This window comes from Homo sapiens, chromosome 12 (assembly GCF_000001405.40).
Source record: "Homo sapiens chromosome 12, GRCh38.p14 Primary Assembly".
NCBI lineage: Eukaryota > Metazoa > Chordata > Mammalia > Primates > Hominidae > Homo > Homo sapiens.
This window is the reverse complement of record NC_000012.12, coordinates 52,557,008-52,581,017: the sequence shown is the minus strand read 5'-3', so window position 1 is coordinate 52,581,017 and position 24,010 is coordinate 52,557,008. Positions and strand designations below refer to the sequence as shown.

General features: G+C 49.7%; 1 protein-coding gene across 1 annotated transcript, besides 1 other annotated feature; it reads left to right on the top strand.

The window, feature by feature from the left end:
* Positions 7,175-15,236, top strand: KRT74 (keratin 74). Its single transcript, NM_175053.4, has 9 exons — positions 7,175-7,711; positions 8,351-8,565; positions 9,014-9,074; positions 9,564-9,659; positions 10,185-10,349; positions 11,034-11,159; positions 12,629-12,849; positions 13,325-13,359; positions 13,850-15,236. The coding sequence occupies exons 1-9, from the start codon at positions 7,241-7,243 to the stop codon at positions 14,047-14,049; spliced, it is 1,590 nt and encodes a 529-aa protein (NP_778223.2). The 5' UTR covers positions 7,175-7,240; the 3' UTR covers positions 14,050-15,236.
* Positions 8,581-8,750: an enhancer, noted in NCBI's record as "experimental_29072 CRE fragment used in MPRA reporter constructs". NCBI's record gives its function as "activates a minimal promoter by MPRAs in K562 erythroleukemia cells, with activity observed for both the introgressed and non-introgressed 12:52966137 variant alleles {active_cell/tissue: K562}" and the evidence as "EXISTENCE:reporter gene assay evidence [ECO:0000049][PMID:34662402]".

Below are 24,010 nucleotides of genomic sequence, written 5' to 3'. Positions count from 1 at the left end.
GCCTTCCCTAGCTCCTTTCTCTAAAGTCTCCACTTCTTCTATTTCTTCTTGATGTGCTACTTTTATGTTTCTTCCTCCCAATTTCCACATTGCCTATGGTGGTCCAGGCCCCTAGTGCTTCTGCCCTGCCTGGTATCTCTTCCCTTCTCCTGTCCCTTCTTAACACCTTTCCCCAGGGCCCAGCAGGCTCAGATATGATGTGGGCCCAGGGAGGGAAGCTGGTCATTCCTTCCACACTGGAGGCAGTTGCCACCCCAGGCCTGACCCACCACTCCAGCACTCCCCAGGGACGGTGCAGGGCTGGGCTTCTCCTTCCTGTTTGGATGGATTGTATGATGCTCTGATGATGGGAGATAGAGAGCATGTCATTAGTGATGATGTGGCTTAATTACAGCCCAATGCACAGCCTGCTTGTTTGCTTTGCAAATGGGCAGAGGAAGAGGTGGATCAAGCATCAAACTTCACAGTGAAGATCAAAAGATTAAGGCATTTCCCCCAGCCTCCCTGTTGTCTTTCAAAAATGAATCCTGTAATAAAGGGGGTTGGGGTGTCAGACAATATAAATTTCTTCCTGAAGTGGCTGGAGGGGAGGTGGAGGGGGTCTGAGGTAAGGAGATGGATTAAATAGTGCCCAGATGGGGGCCTAGTGGAATTTTAAAATGAACAAATGGAAGAAATGTGTCCTTCCCAGGGCAAGACAGTGCTTGTCTTCACATACCTATGTGCACTGGAGCTGAGAAAAGTTCCCTGTGATGACTAGGTAGGTGGTGGGTAGAGTCGTAAAGAGTTCAAAGAGCTTTTCTTTAAAAAAAAAAAAAAAAAGAGGAGAGAAAGAGAACTAAAGAGTGTTTGATCTACAGTAAGTGGCTAGGGGCCTGTTCCATCATAAAAACCTTAGGAGCCCGAGCAGGGAGAGAACCAAGAATGGAGGAGCTTGGAGAGACAATCCAGGAGGTGCTGAAGACAAAAGGATACTCAGGCTGGAACAATGAACAGTAGTCCGCGGATCCCCAAGCCAGAGAAAAGCTAGGCGGGGCAGAGTTCCTGGTGGACAAGCCCTTGGGGGTTCCAGTGATGAGGGAGCTGGGAGACCACCACTTTTCCCCAGGGATCAGAGAGGAAAGACCCTGGGAACTGGCAGACAGATCTCAGGCAGCCCTGGAGAAGGAGGCAAGTACTCGGGGAAGCCAGGAGGCTCCCATGACCCTTTGTGCAGGAGGACAGCTCTGACCAGAGGCTCCAACTCATCTGTGGAACGTGAGCCCATCCCCAAGACTTAGGCAAGCTACCAGGGCAGCCCTGGAGGGGCGTGCAGGTTGTGCTGAGCACTAAGTCTCAGTGCGGGGGAAGTAGAGGCTGAAATCCAGCCATGCACCCTGGGAAAGGGCTGCGTCTGCCCAGAGGAAGGGGTGCCTTTTTCTCATGATTGGCATAAAGGCACCATATGGCCCTGCAACCACTTGGTTAAACTGCTCTGATGTTTCTCTCTCCAGGTGGGAAGGGTGGAGCATGCCCCTCCTGAGCTGGGCTGCAGCAGAGAGGAGGGAGACACCCATGCTGGGAAGACGTGGGGAAGGTCCTAGACTCAGAGAAGGGTGTCTGCAGAGATGCAGCTCCCCCACGTTTACCCCGAGAGGTGCAGGTAGAAAGTTCCATAAGACTAGCAGTGATAAGGAAACTGCCAGGTTTCAGGTCACTAAACATCCTCTGCTAAGTGTTTAATAAATAGAGGCTTACTGCACAATATGCTCTACACTAATATGACACCAAGAAATGGGAATTTTGACCATGCTGACTGCCTGTCTGGGATTTCACTCAGCACAGTGCCTGTAGCAGAATAGGCATTGAGTGAGAGGGATTGGAATTAAAAAAAAATTGATGCCATCCAGCCACCTGCTTTCTTCTCATAATCTGAGGAATTCATTTAACAAGAGTGTGTGTGAGGGGAAAAGGGGGTCTAGTAGGGATGGAGACAGACCAGGGATTGCTTGAGTGTTTAAGTTTTACAAGCTTGGTAGACGTGACTTCAGTGATCCTTAGGGTCCACTGGAGAGTCGGGTACTCAGAGCTCTCCAATATGGTGAATGACGTTCTGGTTTTCAAGGGTCCAGTTTTTTCCAGAACAGTGCAGAACTTTCCAGAACTTCTGTAGCACTGAAAGTCGGACATTCTGGAAAACCTCTCAGCCCTAGGAAAACTGGGATAGTTGAGTACTCTACAAAATAGTATCTAGATAATCCCTATCATCTTGCCTGGGGCGCTTTTCCTATTCCTCTGTGCCTAGAGTTTCCTCTTCCCCCACTCACCAACACAGAGCTTTCTGCTTCACTCTCCACACCCACTCCAACTAGGCCCCAAGCCATGTCTACAGCCTGGGATTGCAGCAGTGGGTTCTGCCCATGTCTCTGGTGCATATCCCATCTGTCATCGGACTCCTGGCACAGAAAATTTAATGTCAGGAAAGTGAAGGGTTTTGGGAGACACATGGGGAAAAAGCAGATGAACTCTATTGTCTGGGCTAGCTAACTTTGGACTAGCATGGAAAAACAGGCTCCTTTCAAACCGGTTCAGACAGGCAGAGGGTATTAGGTTTCTGCACTTAGCTTATTTTCAAAGGGAAATCAGAGAACTCAGTTTCAGGTCCTTTCCAGTGCTAAGGTGCTGTGGTTTGTCCCCAGGTCTTGTCCCCACAAAGTTAGCTCAAGAATCCTTCAAGCTTCTTTTTTTCTTTCTCTCTCTTTTTTTTTTTTTTTTTTTTTTTTGAGATGGAGCTTCGCTCTTGTGCCCCAGGCTGGAGTGCAATGGCACAACCTCAGCTCACTGCAACCGCTGCCTCCTGGGTTCACACGATTCTCCTGCCTCAGCCTCCCAAGTAGCTGGGATTACAGGCAGTGCCACCACTCCCAGCTAATTTTTGTATTTTTATTAGAGATGGGGTTTCACCATGTTGGCCAGGCTGGTCTGGAATTCCTGGCCTCAAGTGATCTGCCCACCTCGGCCACCCAAAGTGCTGGGATTACAGGTGTGAGCCACCATGCCTGGCCTTCTTTCTCTTTTCTTTAATGACCTTGATCTACAGAATTTGGGTCCTTCAACTGTTGTTCTGTGCCCAGGAGCAGTCAAAGGCCAAAGGGCTAGAGAAAAATGACATTCACTATTCATCTTCAAACTACAGACATGATGGTTACGGCCATTGGGATTTTTCACGGGGCTGCTTTTTATTTCCCTCTGGTGAGGTGCTCTGCAGAAGGGGATTCTTATCCTCCAGGAAGATGATGAGAGATTATGGCCCAATTGACTCAGCTCCCTTGGGTTCCCTGGGGTACCTGTGTCTTCCACAGCCCTCCTCTTGCAACACAGAGCCTATTCCTTAACGGAAAGCATTGGCCCTGTGAAACTGCTTCCCCTCAGGACCCTCGCATGATGCCACACTGTCTACAGGGAGAAGGGAACTGTCTAGGCCTGCGCCGCCATCTCTGCCTCCATCTCTGCTTCCCAAGTCGAGCCTTCCTTTATAATCCGCCTGGGCCTCTCGGTGTCTCAGGGATGCCCCATGCACCTGCCCAATCTGGCCGACCTTCCAGTTAGCAACCCCTACCTCAGAGAGCCCAACCTCTCTTTTATTCTATTTTTCCATTTCTTTTTAATTCAAGGATGGAGAAGATTTAGGGTAAGCAAAAAGTAGATTTTCATGTACTTTTTAAATTCTTTTTTTTTTAGATCAGAATTTCAATGAACAGCTTGTCTGAGTTACTTGTTCAAGCACATAATCCAATATAGGCATGTAGAATTAAAACTACAGCAATAACAACAGCAAAACAACTTTTGTATGTTTATATTGTTTGTCCTCCAGTTCAATTAACTTCCTAAAAGAGAAAGAGAGTGTCTCAGACATCTCCCCCTGTCTAGCATAGAGCTGAACACACAGTAGATGCCCAGTTTTATATGCATTTAATGAAATAATCTCTTCAGGACTTGGGACACTCATTAGTCCAATGAACTCAAAGACCAGGGCGTGGTGTGTGATTACTAATTAAAGGGTATCCGAAACAGTGAAGGCTGGAACTCTAGGGATCTGACTGCATAGGCCAAAGGCAATTCCCCTGCAATTAAGCTCCCTAGGAACCAATTAGGAGGATTGCTTCTGTGTGGCCACAATCACAACACTGTTGTCAGGAAATTCTACTCTGCCTCTACCTTTTCCTTCTCCGTCACAGCCACTCTGCCACCATCATTACCACCGCTGTCAGCAACCCTTACTGGCCAGCCTCCAGCACAGGGCCCAGCCCACAGGGGCACCCTTTGTAATGAATACAAAGGGTGCCAGGACCCCTAGCCTTAGTCCTGGCCCTCCCCAGCCCATCACTTCTGAGTGTGGATGGACCCCATTCATTCTGCTGCATTTCCCTGGGCACCTGGATATCTGCCTTTTGTTTACCCTAAGTCTTCTCCAGCCTCAAAGATCTAGCCTCATGCCTTTTCTGCTTTGTAAATGCCTTTTCGTTGAAGTTCCTATCAGATTGGGGCTCATAGTCAGCCAGGCAGTGGTGGCGCAAAGACTCAGCTAGCCAGAACTATGATTATTTCCCCTCGGAGCCGGGCAATGAAGGGCCAGCTGCTGGTGATTCTAGAATAAAACAGCCGCTCATGAAAGCAAGTCTCTTCCTTCCCCCTGCCCATCCTTGCTGTGGCTGATTTTCTCTCTGAACCTAGAGTGATGTCTTATCTTGAGCAGCTACCCTTTGCAAGCCCCTAGTTCAGCAACAACCTCCCCTTCTCCTCATGTCACACTTGAATCAAAAACAACAGAAACACAAGCACAAGGTCCCCAGCCCACAGCTGCCATGCCTGCCACATGTACCACAATGTCTTTGCATCTTTGCCACTAACTTCCATCTCTATCACATAACACGATGGTCAGGAACATGCACTTTGAAACCAGACGCACTTGAATTCCGGCCCAGCTCTGACTTACTAGTTGAGTGAGATGGGTAAGTTCCTCTGTTTCTTCAACTGTAAATGAAGTTAGTTAAAGAGGGTTAAGTGAGACATCCCATGTAGACATCCCATGCCTGGCACATGTGAAGTGAAGAATAAGTGTTAACACTTTCTGTTACTACCATCACTATTATACAATGATGTTACTACCACTATTGCTACTACTGCCATAAGGAATACTTCCAGCCCCACTACCTCTGAGCCACTACTCTGAGCCAGCACCTGTAGTGGGCGTTGTTGGGAATATAAGCCTGGCTTCTGGAGATCCCCAAAAACCCTAATCAAGATGAGCCATTCCTCAGTGCACCTCTGATTCGTGGTTCATAATGCTTTTCTGTCATTCCAGAGCTTTGGCTCTACTTTAAGTTCTTTGTGTAGATTCCTCTCATTGGTCTGCAGGCTTCTTGGTGGCTGGGGCCCTAGGACAGTCACCCCCAGGTTAAGGAACTCACGCCATTTTTTGTCTTGCACACTCCAGCACAGGAGGGCGGCAAACCCAGCATCTGGCGGCACCCCTGCTGCTGCCCTTGCAACCTGACTTAGAAAACCACAAGCAACCCCTTCGATTACATGCTCCTGTGCTGTAGGGCTAGGCCCTGCCGGGAAAGCCCCCCGAGACAGGGTCCCTGGGGAAGGACCTTCCACCGTTACCTCAGGGGCTGAGAGGAAAACACCCTGTGAAGGGGAAATTCTTCCGGGGCAGCTTCCAGGCCTAAGCTCCACGCTCCCTGCCCAGGTCAGCTTCTCCTTTTCCCTCCCCAGCAGTGGGAGCAGTTGTCTTCTGCCCTCGGCTGGATCCAAACAAGCCAAGTGTTCTCAGTTTAGTTATAGGAAGTGGTCAGAGTCTTGCATGAGGGCAGCTGCCAGATACCTAGCTTTGAAATAATTTTTTTTGTTTTTTGGAGACAGAGTCTTGCTCTGTTGCCCAGGCTGGAGTGCAGTGGCACAATCTAGGCTCACTGCAACCTCTGCCTCCCAGGTTCAAGTGATTCTTCTACTTCAGTCTTTTGAGTAGCTGCGACTACAGGCATGCACCACTGCGCTCGGCTGATTTTTGTATTTTTAGTAGAGGCGGGGTTTCACCATGTTAGCCAGGCTGGACTCAAACTCCTGACCTCAGGCAATCTGCCCTCCTTGGCCTCCCAAAGTGCTGGGATTACAGGTGTGAGCCACCATGCCCAGCCCTGAAATAATTTTTTAACATTGCACTGTACCCACACTACCTGAGCTATAAAGCAGTGATACTTCCTGTTTGAAAATTGAGTGCTCCCTGAAGTTGCCAGGAAACTGGCAGAACAGCCCACCCTGAACCTGGGAGTGAAACTCAGGGGGTCCTGTTCCTTGGTGACTTCAGCCATAGGGTGTTTCCCCAGGGAGTGCAGGGGCTAATATCCCAGCTCCTGCCTGACTTCCTAGAGTAGGACAAATAATCTTATCCAGGAGAGAAAATCCAACTGGAGGAAATGCAGCTGACTGGAAAGGTTCTCATGGTTGTAAGGCAATGTCAAGGTCACCACCACCCAGGCCCTGCCCAACACAGAAGGCCCTAGACAATATCCCTGCTAGGGGGGCATGCAGATGCTGCAGAGTCATTCCTCTTCCTTCCTGGGGTCCACTTCACTGCTAGACAGCTGTGGTCCTTAGCATGGCCCAAGGACGGACCCTGGAGCTTCTTACCCAGATCCAGATCTTTGAGGACATCTTTCCAAGAAGAATCATCTTTCCATGTCTTCTTTTCCCTGAGGTAAAAATTCCAGCTTCCACACAAGACCCTATAATAGAGAGATGGTTTCTTTTGGGAAGAAACCTGGGGTTTTTCAGGTGAGTCTACTCTGGGGAAAGCCAGGCATTTCCCCTGCTCCTTGCTGATGGTTAAGCAAGAAGGAGGTAGCACTGGAAAAATAAAGCTAGGAGATCTCTTCAGGGGATAACTCTTCAGGTCCTTAATTAGGGAGCACAGATAAACTCCAAATTAGACCACTCCACTCTGCAAGGGCAGCATATTCCACTTGCTATCAGAAGAGCTTTGTTGCTGCAAAGGGCTTGGAGATCTCTGTTCTACAAATTGCCCATGGCCCCTGGCCCATCAGCAGGGGAAAGGAGATAGTGGAGAGACGCCCTTTTCCGGTGTCCTGGGCTCAACAGGGATAAAAGGAGGCAGCACTCTGGGTGCCCCATCAGTGTGTTCTCTACCCCTTGGAGACTGCTTTTCTCCAGCTCTGTCAACTCAACCTTTCCCACCATGAGTCGGCAACTGAACATCAAGTCCAGTGGTGACAAGGGCAACTTCAGTGTGCATTCGGCAGTGGTGCCAAGGAAGGCTGTGGGTAGCCTGGCTTCTTACTGTGCAGCTGGCAGAGGGGCTGGCGCTGGCTTTGGCAGTCGGAGCCTCTATAGCCTTGGAGGGAATCGGCGTATTTCTTTCAATGTGGCTGGTGGCGGCGTTCGGGCTGGAGGTTACGGCTTCAGGCCTGGCTCTGGGTATGGAGGGGGCCGGGCCAGTGGCTTTGCTGGCAGTATGTTTGGCAGTGTGGCCCTGGGGCCTGCATGTTTGTCTGTGTGCCCACCTGGGGGCATCCACCAGGTCACTGTCAACAAGAGCCTCTTGGCCCCCCTCAACGTGGAGCTGGACCCTGAGATCCAGAAGGTGCGCGCCCAGGAGCGGGAACAGATCAAGGTGCTGAACGACAAGTTCGCCTCCTTCATTGACAAGGTGGGTCTCATAGGAGGAGGATGAGGCCGCACCCTGAGGCCTGAGCAGTTTTCCTGCTGCCTGGGAATGGACTGCACACTGTGGCTGGAAAGGTGCAGCTGGGCCTCAGGAAGGGCTTCCTCACCATTAGGGAAGGAGAGTAGGTCTGTGAGCCACGGAGGACAAAGGAATACATGAATATATCGGCTTCTTTGGCGATTTTGCAGGGAAGGATGGGAAGCTGGGTAAAGAGCAGCCCTTCCTTGACAAAAAAGTGATGAGTTTCTTGAGGACAGCTGGATCTTCCAAGAACATGAAAGGCTAATAGAATCCAGCAGTGTTCAGAGGGAAGGGCTCATGGTACAGGAAGAGACACTTAGTTGAGACATAAGGAAGGACATCTCCTGGGACCAGGGCCGAGCAATAGAAGAAAGCTGTGGAAACTCCTTGAGTGAGTTCTCAGTGATGCCTTGTCCAGAAGGCTAGGAAATGAGCACTTGTAAAGGATCTAGTTTGTGTGGAATGGCAAGGGTGGAGAGTCAAGACATGAGCAAAAATGACTACAACAATCTATGGCAAACCTGGGGAGTCAATGGTGTGTGTCCAGGGGGCATGACTGCACCCATTGTGGTTCCAGGTGTCTGTTGATTTGGGTTCCAGGTACGCTTCCTAGAGCAGCAGAACCAGGTTCTAGAAACCAAGTGGGAGCTGCTGCAGCAGCTGGACCTGAACAACTGCAAGAAGAACCTGGAGCCCATCCTTGAGGGCTACATCAGCAACCTGCGGAAGCAGCTGGAGACACTGTCTGGGGACAGGGTGAGGCTGGACTCGGAGCTGAGAAGCATGAGGGATCTGGTGGAGGACTATAAGAAGAGGTGAGCAGGCTCCACCCGAGGGTCACAGACCATGTTTCCCGTGCCTCTGGGCTCACCTGATCTCTGTGCCATTATTTTTTAGGAGATGGGGGAGTATGCACCAGGGTCAGGAGCTCACATCCCTTTCTCTGGCTAGGGGGAAGGGCCTATCCTCTTTGATGATAACTTCCTGCCTAGTTGATAGGAAGCGGTTCCTGTGCTCCTTGACCCACTGAAATGTTCAGTTGCTGGTGTCGGGAGCCCAATAGGCACCTGGGTGTTTTCCTAACATGCAAAAACTAGGAGACAAGTGAAGCAACTCAGGGATATCTTACTCCTGTCACTAGCCTCTTACTGCTCACCCCAGAGACCCTGCAGGGACCCTGTATCCCAAACATTTGCCTGGCCAGCAGGAAGAGAAAGTTCCTTGGCTAAGGGGGCTAAGGCCATCTACTCTCCCTGCTGGCAGATATGAAGTGGAGATTAACCGGCGCACGACAGCAGAGAATGAGTTTGTGGTGCTTAAGAAGGTAAGAGAGGGAGGAGCCTCCTTATTAGGGTCTCTCGCACCCCCATCTTAACAACTCTGCTCAGGACTTCAGCCCAGGAGGCTGGGGAGGGGGCTGGTGCCTGGTGAGGGGGCTGGTGCCTGGTGAGGGTGGAGTCATAGTCCTGGCCTCCAGTGAGTTGGAGAGGAAAGACACACACTCAGGAAATGGACAGAGACAGACAGAATTCTGGTCTGGGAACTGTGAAACTCGGGTCCAGCTCAACCTTGCTGTGTGACCTGAGGAAACCTACTACCTCTCTGGGCTTTGTTTTCTCCAGGCATAACAGAGCTGCCCCATCCTCCTTTCCCTATTCCCAAAGCTTCAGGCAGCCTGAGAAGAAATTGATATTGAGTGAGCTTTCCTTTGTGGGTAGAAAATAGAAAATCAGGTGGCTTTGAGGCAGGAGTTGGGCAGGGCAGCTGTGGGATGAGGGTTGCATCCCCCAATGACTCTGGGGCCTCTTGGCAGGATGCAGATGCAGCCTACGCAGTCAAGGTGGAGCTTCAGGCCAAAGTGGACTCACTGGACAAAGAAATCAAGTTCCTCAAGTGTCTGTATGATGCAGTAAGGACACTCCTGTCCCCCCACCCTCACCCTGCCTCCTTCCCGACTCTTCCAGGGAGATACCAAAAGGAGAGATTTAGGATCAACAAAATGAAAGATGTTTTGGTAGAAAGGTACAAAACCCTGCACCAGGAGACCATGGAAGTGCAGGATGCTGGTCCTTGGAGGCCATACATACAGGAGGAAATTGATCTTGATACAATAGTGGACTTGCCCACGGGCAGGAAAAGATAACCCAGTGAGGTCTTACAAAGCACAGAGCCTTGGATTCTGTGAAATTGTGGAAAATGCATTATTCACCCGTCTGCATGTGCCAGCGGGCATCTGCCATATGCAGGGGTTCCTGCTGCTGTTAGCTGCTCTCCCTCAGCTCTGCAGACACATCCCAGAGGGCACTTCTTCCCCCTACTTTGTCCCCGTGGATCCTAGCAGCCTATTGGGCCAGGGACCATGGGCCCAGAAGACTGATGGGGCAGAAGAGGGAAGCCAGGGGGTTGCTGAATCTGTCTTCCTCTCTCAATGCAGGAGATCGCTCAGATCCAGACTCACGCCAGTGAGACCTCTGTCATCCTGTCCATGGACAACAACCGGGACCTGGACCTTGACAGCATCATCGCTGAGGTCCGCATGCATTATGAGGAGATCGCCCTGAAGAGCAAGGCCGAGGCCGAGGCCCTGTACCAGACCAAGGTGGTCACCGAATGGGTCTCCTCCCACAGCAGCCCTTCGCTTCCTGGGAGGGGTCACCTGCACAGTGAATGTGAGGAATACTTTTGTGGGCATGCTGAATGAAAGAAAGGTTCCAACCAAGGCTTCAAGGAAAAAAGGAATTCTTAGCAGAGCTTGTTATCAAAGATAAATCATGAAACTGGTATGGATTGAATATATGCAACAGAGAGGATCCCTCACTTCTTTCCTCCATCCACGAACTGCCTGTTCCTCTCTGTTGCAGGTGAAAGAAGTGAGGTGGTAAAACAAACACACTTATAGGAATGGGGGCATGTTGCCACAGGGCAGAGGGAGAATCACAGACTTGCGGGAGTGTAGCCATGGGTGAATTTGGTGGGGGGCGAGTGAGAGAAGGAGAAGCCTGTAGCTCTTTCCTGATCCCCACGGGAAGACTTTCAAAAGGAAATGGAAGGCGAGGAGTGCTCTGAGTAATGGAACTATGCTTTGGGTAAACTGAGTAATGGAACTATGTTTGGGGCTGTCAGGGAGAAAACCCCTTACCTGGGCCCCCAGGACCCTGTCCCAGCACTCCTCTTCAGTTCCGTTAAATCCCACCGACAGCCAGGGTGGCAGGGGTGGCTTATTTACAGGACCCTTCCCCAGTGCCCTTGTCTCATCACCAACTTCCTATCTCTGGGAAACCAGATCCAGGAGCTGCAGCTGGCAGCCAGTCGGCATGGTGACGACCTGAAACACACCAGGAGCGAGATGGTGGAGCTGAACCGGCTCATCCAGAGGATCCGGTGTGAGATCGGGAATGTGAAGAAGCAGGTGGGCAGCAGCCCCACAAAGAACTCCCGGTCTCCACAGCAGGCTCTGGGATGAGGAAATGGGGCCTGCCCTTTGGGAACAAGCAAATATCCCCTGCTGGGCTTAGGGGTCCCTCGGCCACCCACAGTCTCCCTTTCCCACCCTGCCTCGGTACCCTACCATCAGAGCTGGTACCCCGCCCAGAACTGGGAGGAGCCTCAAACCTATTTCTCTGACTCCTCATTTTGCAGATAAAGCAACTGGGCTGGGAAGGGGAAGGGACTTTCCCAGAGCCCCCAGCTGGTAATGAATGGAGCTAGGATTAGAACCCAGGTTCCCCTTCTGCAGATTTTTTCTGTGTCCAATGAACCTGCCCCATGTCCCCTTTGGGTGCCCCCTCTGAGGGCAGACCCTCTGTCTCCTCCTCCCACTGGACATGGAACATGTGTGGGGTGCAGAGGGTATGCATCAGGCGCCTCTGTTGGCCACACCAGGTTCCTGCTCTCGGAGTGGGGCATGGTCTGTTGACTGAGGGACACAGCTGTCGATGAAGCCCTCCTGGGTTCCCTTGCCCTGTGCCATGGTACTACTTCCATGTTAGTGGGCGGGGGGGTGGGGGTGGGGGGCCTGTCTTACCTGACAGCAGCAAATTTTAAACACTGCGTCAGTGGGGAGATGATATTGGAGGCTGGAGGATCCTTCCTGTGACCTCTCTGAGAACCAGGTCTGCTCTGCTAGTGATAGAATTGACCAGCGGAAAGATCTGAGCCTGTTCTCCTTCTGGTGCCCCCACAACCCTCCATGCTCTGCAGGCAAACACAGGGACAACTCTACGACTCTACATTTGGCCGATTCACAAATTCCATGAGCATAGTTCCTCCCTCTCTGTTAGCAACAGGCATCGCAATGCCCCCCAGATGTTCATCAGAGTCCAGCTTCTGAGGTTGTGCCTATAATTTAGGGCCTTATCCTCCTGCTCTAAGGGAAGGCCAGATGTGGGAGCCTTCACACAGACTCTCCCCAGAGTGCTGGAGTCCAGAAACACTCATCTGGATGCTAACAGATCAGAAGGATCCCCAATGGGGAGAGGTCCTGCAGCAGGAATCTGATCACAGTGGGACCGTGGCATACTGTCTCATCCTCAGGGCTGGCCTTGCTAGGGGATCGGGCATGATTTTCCTGAACCTGTAGTATTTTGAATCTGTAGATACTGGTGGCCTCCGGTCTCAGGCACTATCTAACTTTGCAAACATCGACATTTCTTCCTGACCTCCTGAAATGCAACTGCTTCCACAGCTTCATGTGATAACAGCTTTGAATACTCCTCTGCAATAGAAAATAGAAGAGACAAAGTTCTGGTGTTGGCTTTGCAGCTTTTACTCCTTGTCACCTAGGGCCCCATCTGCAAAATGAGGGCATTGTTCTACTTAACTGGTATGAGCTAAATGTAATTTTCTGTTCTGATGGTCTCTCTGTTCTTTGCCCTTCAGCGTGCCAGCCTGGAGACGGCCATCGCTGACGCTGAGCAGCGGGGAGACAATGCCCTGAAGGATGCCCAGGCCAAGCTGGATGAGCTGGAGGGCGCCCTGCACCAGGCCAAGGAGGAGCTGGCGCGGATGCTGCGCGAGTACCAGGAGCTCATGAGCCTGAAACTGGCCCTGGACATGGAGATTGCCACCTACCGCAAGCTGCTGGAGGGCGAGGAGTGCAGGTAGGTGGGGTGGAGGGGAAAGTGTGAGAAGGGACTGGGGTGTGGCTCCTGTCTGGCTGAGGGGCCACCTGGAGAACAACATGGTTAGTGCCAATACAAGCAAGAGATGTGGTGATTTCGTGAACTCAGAGGCAGCTTCCTGCAAGGGGTTGTTGGACATGAGCCATGAAGCGTAGATGGCCGTGTGCTGCTGTGATGAGAACCGGGGGCTCAGACAGACCTGGGGCTAATGACTGGCTCTTCAGCAGGGGCTAATTATTGGCTTTATCCTATGCTAGTGGTGTGGTCTCGGTAAATCATCTAGTATCTCCAGGACTCTTGTTTTCTCATCTGTAAGATGAAGGCGATAGTGTCAGTTTCGTAAGTTGTTATAAGGATGAGTTTAAATGATGCACGTATAAAAGCAGGAGCCCATTGATGTTTAGTGGAATCTCGACACTGAGTTTTTATCTTTCTCTAACTTTCTGTCTCACAGGATGTCTGGTGAGAATCCATCCTCTGTGAGCATCTGTGAGTATTCTTGAGAGATGCCTTGGGTTGGGAAAGCCAGGGACCCTGGGACAAAGTGATGTCACCTCCATTTACTGTCTCACCTCCCAAGAAGCTTCTGTTACTGTCTTGGGAAGGTTTCTGGGCTTCAAAGGAAATGTTCTCCCTTTTCATCCTGTGAAATGGTGACTGAGGTCATGCCCACCCTTTTCCCTTCCTGTTTCTCCCCTGGGACGTTGTCATTTGGAGAAAGGGTTGGTGGACATGGATTTTCCTAGCATTTCCAGGAGGGCAGGGACTGTATCTATCTGATGGGGTCTTCACCTCACACGAAGTCCGGCCCGTAATAGGCTCTCAGTTCATCTCTGTAGTGCTTCTTGACTACTGAGGGTGGTTCTGCGGATTAAATGAGGTGTTGTTGTGGAGAAGCCCTTGGGGACAGCCGTTACCATAGCTGTTATCTGCTGATTGACACTGCTCCTCTCCCCTGCTCTTGGCCCCTCCTCCTCAGCTGTCATCAGCAGTAGCAGCTACAGCTACCACCACCCCAGCTCTGCGGGTGTTGACCTTGGGGCCAGCGCTGTGGCAGGCAGCTCTGGCAGCACCCAGAGCGGGCAGACCAAGACCACAGAGGCGCGAGGGGGAGACCTCAAGGACACCCAGGGCAAGAGCACCCCAGCCAGCATCCCAGCAAGGAAAGCCACCCGCTAGACCCATGGCCTCACCCACCTCAGCACTTGGAAGAAGAGGTGACTTTGCCACCCCCAAAGGTGTCTGCCACACCCAAGTTCCCAGGCCCTGAGTTTTAAAACTGTCTGTAGTACACTCAACTGTCTGCATCGTGGTTTAGCTTTTACTTTCAAGCTCTGATTGACACAGTCACCTTCCCTGTTTCCTTAGGTCCCATGTGGACTAACGACTTCTCATTTTCCTCGCTGCCTTTGGCTGGCAGGAGGCTTTGGAGGCACAAGCCATTATAACCTTCTTGGCCCTAAGGAAGCTGTGATCATCCCTAGAAAGAGGGAAGGAGCAGGAGACGACAGGGGAGGGGCTGGTTTGTTCTGTGCTTAGGCCAAGTTAGCTACTGTCTGAGAGGTTTTACATCCCCTGCCAGCATGGTGGGGTGACACGAGACCTGTAAGCAGGTGGTGAGAAGTTAGACAGCCTTTACTTGCTCCATCAGAAACAACTTTGCAGGATGACGCCAATATTTAGGACACCACGTGTACATCTGTAGACCACCAGCTGCACCCATCTCCACAAAGCCAAGTGAAGGTGTATTGGGGATTCTCTGCCAGCCTGTGTCACCCACCCACCTCCTTCATTATCAGCAATAGCTACCATCATTTGTCAAGCACCTACTAGATGCCAGACACCCTACACATATTGCCTCCTGTTCTCATCCATTCCTGCAAAGAAGATGCAATGAGCATCCTTGGAACAGACTGGGAGCCTGATCCCAAGAGGCTGCTGAACTGGCCCCAGTCACCCACCTATGTGCCAGAGTCAGGCCTGGCCGACACAAGGATCTATGCTTTTTCTGTGGTGTGTCACTGCCTTTTTAACAAAAGGGCTGTCAAAGTCACCATTCTTTTTGATGAGGGCAGCGTAATTACATTGCCTTTTGTCAGGACTGTGGGTATGTGATTTGTCTTCCACAGTCTCTCTGGGGCTGTGTCCTACATAGCTTCTGACTCTCAATTTTTGGTGCCATGAGCTGAGCTCAGTGAGTGGAGCTGGCTTTTCTGTCGCTGAGTGCTACTGCCTAGTCCAGATGTCGTGGCTCAGGGTGTAAATATTCCTAAGAATGGCAGCATCTATTTCCTCTTTTGTTTGAATTAAAGACTCTGAATTTCTGCTGTATATTCATTAAGTTGTCCTTGAGTGTTGTCAGAGGTATGCTTCTGTCAGTCTGTTAATCTTTCCAAATGTTCCACCCTCTAGTGATGATGTGCCACCCTCCATTTCTCCCCAGCAAGCGTGCAGGACTCTTGCTGGGAAGCTGCAGGCCAACTCAGATGAGGCTGCTCTGGAGGCAATCTCAGGCTGCTGGAAGAGACAGATACACACTCATGTAAATCAGGGAAGGGCAGCCTAAGGCAGCAATGCTAGTAAGGGACTGGAATAGAGAGGCTAAGCAAGGAAGGCTTCCTGGAAGAGGAGGAGAGTTTAATTAAATAACCAGAAAGATGGACACATGGGCTCCTGGAGAGGGAATTTAAATCACAGCAACATAGTAGTTTGGACACAGGCTTTCATGTGCTTATTTAGTAGGGGGTGGGAGATCTCAGATTTTCCAAAGTCAATACAGATTGGGTATACCTTATCCAAAATTCTTGGGACCAGAAACATTCCTGACTTTGGATTTTGAAATGTTTGCATGTGCATAATGAGATACTTCGGGGATGGAACCCAAATCAAAACATGAACTTCATTTATGTTTCATATATACCTTCTGCGTAGGCTAAAGATAATTTTGTACAAATTTTAAATAAAATGCTCCAAAAGTTTTGGAGCACTTTGGATTTCAGACTTTTGGATTAGAGATGCTTAATCTGCAGTGGGGCTGGGTGGATTTCTAAGTCCCTCAGCTGTGGCCGGCAGAGTCTAGCTGTCTAAGCAGCTTTCAAATTTGTCTTGTGTCATGGGTGTGCCCAAAGATGTTCACCTCTACAGGCCTCAAGATAATGGGGACAGGCCTTGGGAGGATGGGGACTCTGGCCTAAGTAGTGGCCTCCATTCACCTCCCTGTGGCTTTCATGTATTAAGGAGGTCCTCTTCTGTGTGTGCCAGGGTGCAGTAAACCGTGGGAAACACAAGAGCCCAAGAGTGTGTTGGGCTTTCTGCCCAAATGTCTCCCTCTGATGTCACCACTGCTGCCACTGTGGATACTGAACTAGTGCCCTGGGAGTGGGAGGCTCCATTCTAGCTCTACCACTAACCAGTCACCTGTTACACACAGTGGTTCTTAACCTTGTAAGTCATGAACATTTTGAGAGCTGATGAAAGCCATGGATCTTTCCCCTGAAATGTGGACAGGGTCTACTGCATGTCCAGAGGTTCACAGATCCCCACAGCCCATCCATGGATTCCCTGGGTCATGAACCACCGGTTAAGAGCCTTTGCACCAGATACCCTTAAGGCCCTTCCTAGCATTGATGCTCTGTCTTTCCCAAAAGACCACATTCCCAGTGAGGGACCCAGTAAGAGGGCCTGAGGTGAGAGAGGGAATGAGACCCACAACCTGAAATAGCATTTGGAGAAGTATTAATACATGAGCCTCCGTGAAATCACTTCTTTCAAGGCTGCTGTGCAGCATGCCCCTGACAACTGGGCACACCTGAGCTGGTGCTGTTGGGCTGTGATGGCTGCACGCAAACGTGGCTCTGGATGCAGGGATGAAGGGCTAAGCAGATGTGATACAGTGTGTCCTCTACTAGAGTGCTGAGGTGGGCAGAAGGAGCAGCCTCTCTGGCTGCAGCTTATCCACCTGAGAAATGGAGAGATTCTCTGCCATCTGGGATTATGAAGATGCTGAGAGGTGCACAGGAGTGACTGTGCTCTTGCTTTTGGACTCAGAGTCCCCTGAAGCCCAAGAGGAGAAATCATGAAGGCAGGACCAGAGGTGATTGTTAATTTCAATTATTTACAGTTATGGCCATTTTGACACGGGTACCAAGACCATTCAATAAGGGAAAGAATAGCTTCTTCAACAAATGGTGCTGAGACAGCGAGGTATCCACATGCCAGAGAATGAGGTTGAATCTCTATTTTACATCATATACAAAAATTAATCAAAATGAATCAACAACCTAAATATAAGAGCTAAAACCATAAAACTCTTAGAAAAAATGTAGAGGGAAATCTTTGTGACCTTGATTTGGCAATGAATTCTTAGATATGACATCAAAAGCATAAGCAACACAAGAGAAACTAGATAAATTGGACTTCCTCAAAGTTAAAAAACTTCTTTACAGTAAGGGACATTATCAAGAAAGTGAAAAGACAACCTGCCAAATGAAAGAAAATATTGGAAAATCATAGAGCTGATAAGGGTCTAGTATCCAGAATATATAAAGTACTCTTGCAACTCAACAATAAAAAAAACAAACAACTCAGTTAAAAAATGAGCAAGTAATTTTAATAAACTTTCTTTAGAAGATACACAATGGCCAAGAAGCACAGGAAAAGATGCTCAACATAATTATTCATCAGGGAAATGTAAACCAAAATCATAACTAGGCACCAGTTTATACTCACTAGGATGATTTATAATAAAAATAACAGAAAATAATGAATGTGGTGAGATTATGGAGAAATTTGAACATTCATACATTACTGTTGGAAATGTAAACTGGTTCAGCCACTGTGGAAAAGTTTGGCAATTCCTCAAGGAGTTAAACAGATTTGCCATATGACCCAGCAATTCCACTCCTAGATAGAAAGCCAAAATAATTGAAAACATGGCTGAGCCCAGTGGCTCATCCCTGTAATCCCAGCACTTTTGGAGGCAAAGGCTGGGGGGCGGCTTGAACCCAGGAGTTTGAGACCAACCTGGGCAAGGGAGGTTGTCCTTGGGCAACCCAGGGCAAGGGAGATAGGGAGACCCTGTCTCTTAAAGAAAAAAAAAGCTAGGTATGGTGATGCATGCCTGTGGTGCCAGCTACTTGGGAGGCTGAGCTGGGAGGACCACTTGGGCCCGGGAGTTCAAGGCTGCAGTGAGCAGTGATTGTGCCACTGCACTTCAGCCTGGGTGGCAGAACAAGACCCTGTCTCATTAAAAAAAAAAAAAAATTAAAACCAGGTTTCTCAAACAAACACATGTACATGCATATTCACAGCAGCACTATTCACCATAGCCAAAGGTGGAAACAGCTCAAATGTCCATCAATGAATGAAAAAAAAAAAAAACAAAAAAAACTGTGGTATATACTTTCAGTGGAATATCATTCAGCCATAAAAAGGAATGACTCAGTGATATGTGCTACAATGTGGATGAATCTCAAAAACATTATGCTAAGAGAAAGAAGCCAAACAAAAAAAGCCACACATTATATAATTTCATTTATATGAAAGGTCTAGAATAGGTAAATTCATACAGATGGAAAGCAAATTGGTGGTTGCAGGAGTTGGGGAAGGGGAAATGGGGGTGACTGCTAGTAGGCACAGGGCTTTCTTTCGGGGTAATGACAATGTTTTAGAACTAGATTGAGGTTATGGTTGCACAACATTGTGAACATACTAAATGCCACTGAATTGTTCACTTTAAATAGTTAATTTTATGTTATGTGAATCTTACCCCAATAAAAAATAAAATAAAATTTGGGAGTGCAGCAGGGAAAAGGTCAGAGAAACTGTATCCCTGGACTTTGCTCTCTGCCTTCCCTACCGTGTGGCAAATAGCAACCTGGCATAAAGACAGAGTTGTCCATGACCAGCAGGGGGACAGACACTACTTACCCTCATTTGACTGGCCAAGGCAAGCCTGGGGGAGCTGGACTTCTGATAGCCAAGAGCTGACCATGTCTCTGACACTTGGCCGCTACACCCAGCTGAGGGCAACCACTGGCTCTCTCTCGGCTAATTAAGTGCTTGCTTAACTAACCACCTGAGTCTCAGACTTTGGTTATGAAGAGCAACTCAGTGCCCTCAAGTGGCTCTCATAGCTCTTGCTGATGCCTGTTGAGTTGAAGCATCTGAGGCCAAAAAACTGCAATATTTCTTTTTCTCTGTCAGGGTCATGGCCTCTGCACAGTGACTTGGATTAAGATTTTAAGTGGACACCCAAAATCTTGCTTAAGTTCCCAAACTCACTGTATCTTGGTTCATTAGTTGAAGTGAGCACAAAACCCAATTGCTACTGGAATCTTCTCTCCACCTGGGATTTAATGAAACCTACAAGGCTCTGCAATGGCAGACCTATCTGCTGGACTGAGAAGTCCTCAAAGGCAGGCTGGTGTCTTCCTCTATCCCTGTATGTGGTAAACGCTTGGCACAGAGAGGCTGCTTAGTAAGTGTCAAATGGGATCACTGAATGCAAAAGAACAAGGCAATCAGTGTCTGTGCACTGTGTCCTGGGACCTCATCCACCCTTTCCTGCAGCTTCTTCCTATGCCTCTCCCTCTGCCTCTGACCTTCCCATTTTCTGATTTTTCTAACCATTCTCTCTAGGTTCCAAACTCAGTGTAGCAGGAGGCTTTAACTGAGTAATCTGTGTTCATTGGTAGAGAAAGTCTCATTGAAATCCATCCTCTGTGACCTTGAAAAGTCACCTTGGCCATCCTCCTGCCCTGGGGAAGGGATGTTCTTTCAGGTCTAAACTGTCATGACTTCTCCTGCTTTCATGGTCTCAGAGCTGTTGAATGAATGAATGAATGAATTTGATTCCCTCACTTGGTCACCAGCTGGGAGTCACTGCATTGCTCCCTCCCGTCATGGCTATTATTGAAAAAGAATATATTGAAAATATATGAAAAAGGGACAATCAGCTCCCTGTTAGAAACCACTAATGGAGAATAATGGAGACTCAGGGGTCTGAAAGCAACAGCTAATAGAAGATGGGAGCAATTATCAGGTGCAATGTCATCAGAAACCCATGTACGCATGCATAGACATGAGGCTGCAGGCTCACAAAGCTGATGTCTATGGAAGATGCAAAACATTTAACAGCTGGTACAAGCAGGCACTAACCAATCAGAGATGTCAGCCATGGACAACCAGGACAGCCATGTTCATAATGGCTGGACACCTGTTCTGCTCCCAGCCATTCACATACAGATGTGCACACACATCTTCTGATATGCCTTGGAACATGTCTGTCAGCTGGTAAGACATGCAGTGCTCACAGTTCATGCATTAAGCCCTGGAGCCTTTGGTCATTTTGGGGTGGAGGGATGCGCCCAGAACCTGAGCAGCAGGAGAAAGCTGCAGCCTGACCCTGACAGGGAAGGGGTGGAAACCAGGGGAATTCGGAAGGGCTTAGGGGAGGCTTCTTGGAGTAGCTATGTCCTGCCTGGTAGGCAGGAGGCTGGGAGAATAGCCCAGAGCATGACATCAGGAAAAAGGAAGCTGCCCGTAAGAAACATGTCAGGGCCTCACAAGCATCCCCAACCCCATCCTCACCCAGGTCCTGAAATCACATCTATTTTCTCCAAAAGAGCAAAGAAGGCTGAAAAGGGGACTGAGGGGTCAGATGTGGCTGGCTGGAGGGTTGTGACAGGAAGACAGGAGTGTATGAAATGTCAATCCTGGAAACCAGAGGCTTATAGGGTGGGCTGGCAGGAGGACCACCCAAGAGGCTGCTGCCAGAATTCCAGAGGGGAGAGGATGAGGGGCAGCCTGGGCCATGCCGTGGTGATAGATGCAGAGCAACTGCCTTAAGAGATGGCAGGTGACTTCTTGAGAGTGCGGAGCACCTGGGTGAGTGAGGGCGTGGGCACTGATGGGGTGGGAGGGTATATTAGGGACAGAAAGTGATGAGCTCAGCTTTTCACACTGTGGTTCAAGTGTTGGAGGGACAGGAGAGAGCAGAGACCAGAGCTGGTGAGGGTTAGAGGTGGGCATGCTCACCTGGGAATAGGACACGCAGGGGCACTAGACATTTGTACTCAAGAAAGCCAGGGTGGTGTGGAGGCTAAGGGCACAGACTATAGCCAGCATGCCTGTATTTGAACCTTGGCTCAAATCCTGGTTGAGTGCTGAGCTTGGTGGTTCACACTTGTAATCCCAGCACTTTGGGAGGCCAAGGTGGGTGGATCACTTGAGGTCAGGAGTTTGAGACCAGCCTGGCCAACGTGGTGAAACCCTGTCTCTTCTAAAAGTACAAAAATTAGCCCGGTGTGGTGGCCCACACCTGTAATCCCAGCTACTCGGGAGGCTGAGGCAGGAGAATTGCTTGAACCTTGGAGGCAGAGGTTGCAGTGAACTGAGATCGTGCCACTGCACTCCAGCCTGGGTGACAGAGTGAGACTCCATCTCAAAAAAAAAAATCCTGGTTGAGTACTCTCTTGAGTAAGCTGCCTAACTTCCTGTGTCTCAGCATCTTCATCTGTAAAGTGGGGACAATAATGGCACCTACCTCATAGGGCTGTTGTGAGAATTAAATGAATTAATATATGTGAAGCGCTTAGAAGGATGCCTCACAGCACTCACATTGTATATGTGTTAACCACTGCTATTATTATCATTGTCACCATTATTCTTATTTACAAGGTGCCTCCCAACCACCTTGGGGAGTAGGTGGAGCAGGTGTTGGCACCCCCTCTTTTAGAGATGTGAAAACAGAGGCTTAGGAAGGTAAGAGACCTGCCCACAGTCACACGGCTCATGAGTGGCCAAGGCAAGACTGGGACCTGGGTCCTCAGAGTCTCAAGTCCATGCACTTCGCTAGAGGCTTGGCGTGGGGCTGCAGCATGGCTCAAAGGAGGTGCTCCCAGCCACGGAGCTGAGTGAGGAGGAAATGAGGAGAGGGGCAGCCCCAGATGACCCTCTCTGTCAGAAATATGGCAAAATGGGAGGGGAGCCATGCCTGGAAGGACAGCCTTCCTATCCTTTATATCCCAGCTCCTCTGGGGTGGGCACACCCTCAGCCTTGGCAGCTGCAAAAATGCTGACCAGCTGTCCTGCCCCCCAATGAATGGTGGGTTGTGGCCAGGCCCCCGGCACTGCGCTCCATCCGGCTGGCTGGGGCTGAAAACCCTGCCTATCTGAAACCACTGAAAGATGAGGGGGTGCCAGGAGGGGGGCTTCTGGGGGATCCATAGATGACATGCTCATTTCCTGGGTTCATCTGCTGAGGAGGGCTGGCAGGACCTGGGCTGATGTCATCCAAATAGCTCAGCTCATTCTCTCTAATTCTGGAGACAATTATTTGCTCAGAGAACCACCTGCCCCTCTCTCGGTGCCTCCAGCCTCTCTCCACCCCCACCAACCCTGTCCACATAGCACCTGGATTCTGCTGCCTCAAACATGGATTGCTCATGCCCTCCCTGGCTCAGTAGCCCTCAATGGCTCCCCATTATGTGCACAGCCTGGCATCCAGAGTCCCCCCCCCGCAAAGTCGTCCTTTATTCATGATTGCTCCAGCCTGGTGGGTCTTTTCCTCACAAATGACCTGCCTTCTGCCACCCAGGGCAGTTTTCCTCATTCCTCCATGCCTGTCCATCCAAGCCTTCTTCCCTTAAGAGACTGGGATCCAAACTCCATCCTCCAGGCAGCCCTTGTAGGTTTAGTGTCCCCACATCTATGCATTCCCCTTTCCTCTCACCCAGCAACTACCCTCTTATATTGTACTCGGTTGTCTTGCCCTGCTCTTGGAGGTCTTCTCTCTCCAGACTTATCCGACCCAAGAGTGCTGAGAGGAAAGAGCAAGATACAAATTAGAGCCATGGGTTCACACACAAATGTGTCAAACTGGTCATGATCACAGACACAGAAACAACAATACAAAGACACTTACAAATTATACATGTAAGCCAAATAAAACATGTGGCTATAAAACCAAGAGCCACACAAATGTAATGTAACATGCCATTTAATTTTTTTCTTGAATGTCCAAGCCAGATGTTCCTGGTATCTTAGGGGTTTGATCCTCTGATATGACGCATTCCCCCGACTGTTTCACAGATGGGTATAACTGGCCCAGAGATGTCCACGCCTGCCCAAACATTGCTCAGAATTCAATTCTCATGTGGAAAGCTAGACCCCTCCCATGGAGGGCATGAAAGAAAAACAGAGCCAGACGGGCAGCTCAGATCCTGCCTCCCCACCAGGCCAGAGGGCTCCCCAAGCAGGGGTGCTGGCTCCTCCCACCCCTAAATCTTCCCAGATCTCAGTTAAAGCGGGACTGGGGGGATTGGGGGTTTAGTCCCCCTAGTGAGCTGTGGCCCTGTCCTGGTTTCCTTCAGTCTCTCCTTTTTTCCCTCCCGAAAAACACAGGCACCTCAGGAGCCCCACCTAGGCCCTCCCTTCCTGTGGGAGGTCCCCAACTCTCCTTCCTCCTCTATCACTGGCCTCATCAACAACACTGGGTGTCTCATGCCTAATGGCCAGTGTCTGACTAACTAATTCATGCTAAGGTGTTAACCACTTGTTAATAGCTTGATGAGCTTCTTCTCCCAGGGGTGCTTGCATTTGGAGGGACCCAGAGACTAAATCCTTTGAGGGCAGGAAACTTTTTATGGCCCCCCTCAGCACTTGGTAGGTACCCAATAAATATTTGATAAAAGATCAATACCAAAAAATCTGAGATAATGTTCGTAAAGTGCCTCCTACTGAGTTTTGTACTTGGCTAGCACTTATTAGATGGTGGCTGTTATTTTTATTTATTTATTTATTTATTTTTGAGATGGGGTCTCACTCTGTCGTCCAGGCTGGAGTGCAGCGGTGCGATCTCGGCTCACTGCAAGCTCCACCTCCTGGGTTAACGCCACTCTCCTGCCTCAGTCTCCCGAGTAGCTGGGACTACAGACACGAGCCACCATACCCGGCTATTTCTTTTTTTGTATTTTTAGTAGAGATGGGGTTTCACCATGTTGGCCAGGCTGGTCTTGAACTCCTGATCTCAAGTGATCCTCCTGCCTTGGCCTCCCAAAGTGCTGAGATTACAGGCATGAGCCACCACACCCGGCCTACAATTTTTATTTTTAATGGCAAATTTTCCAATATCAAGGAG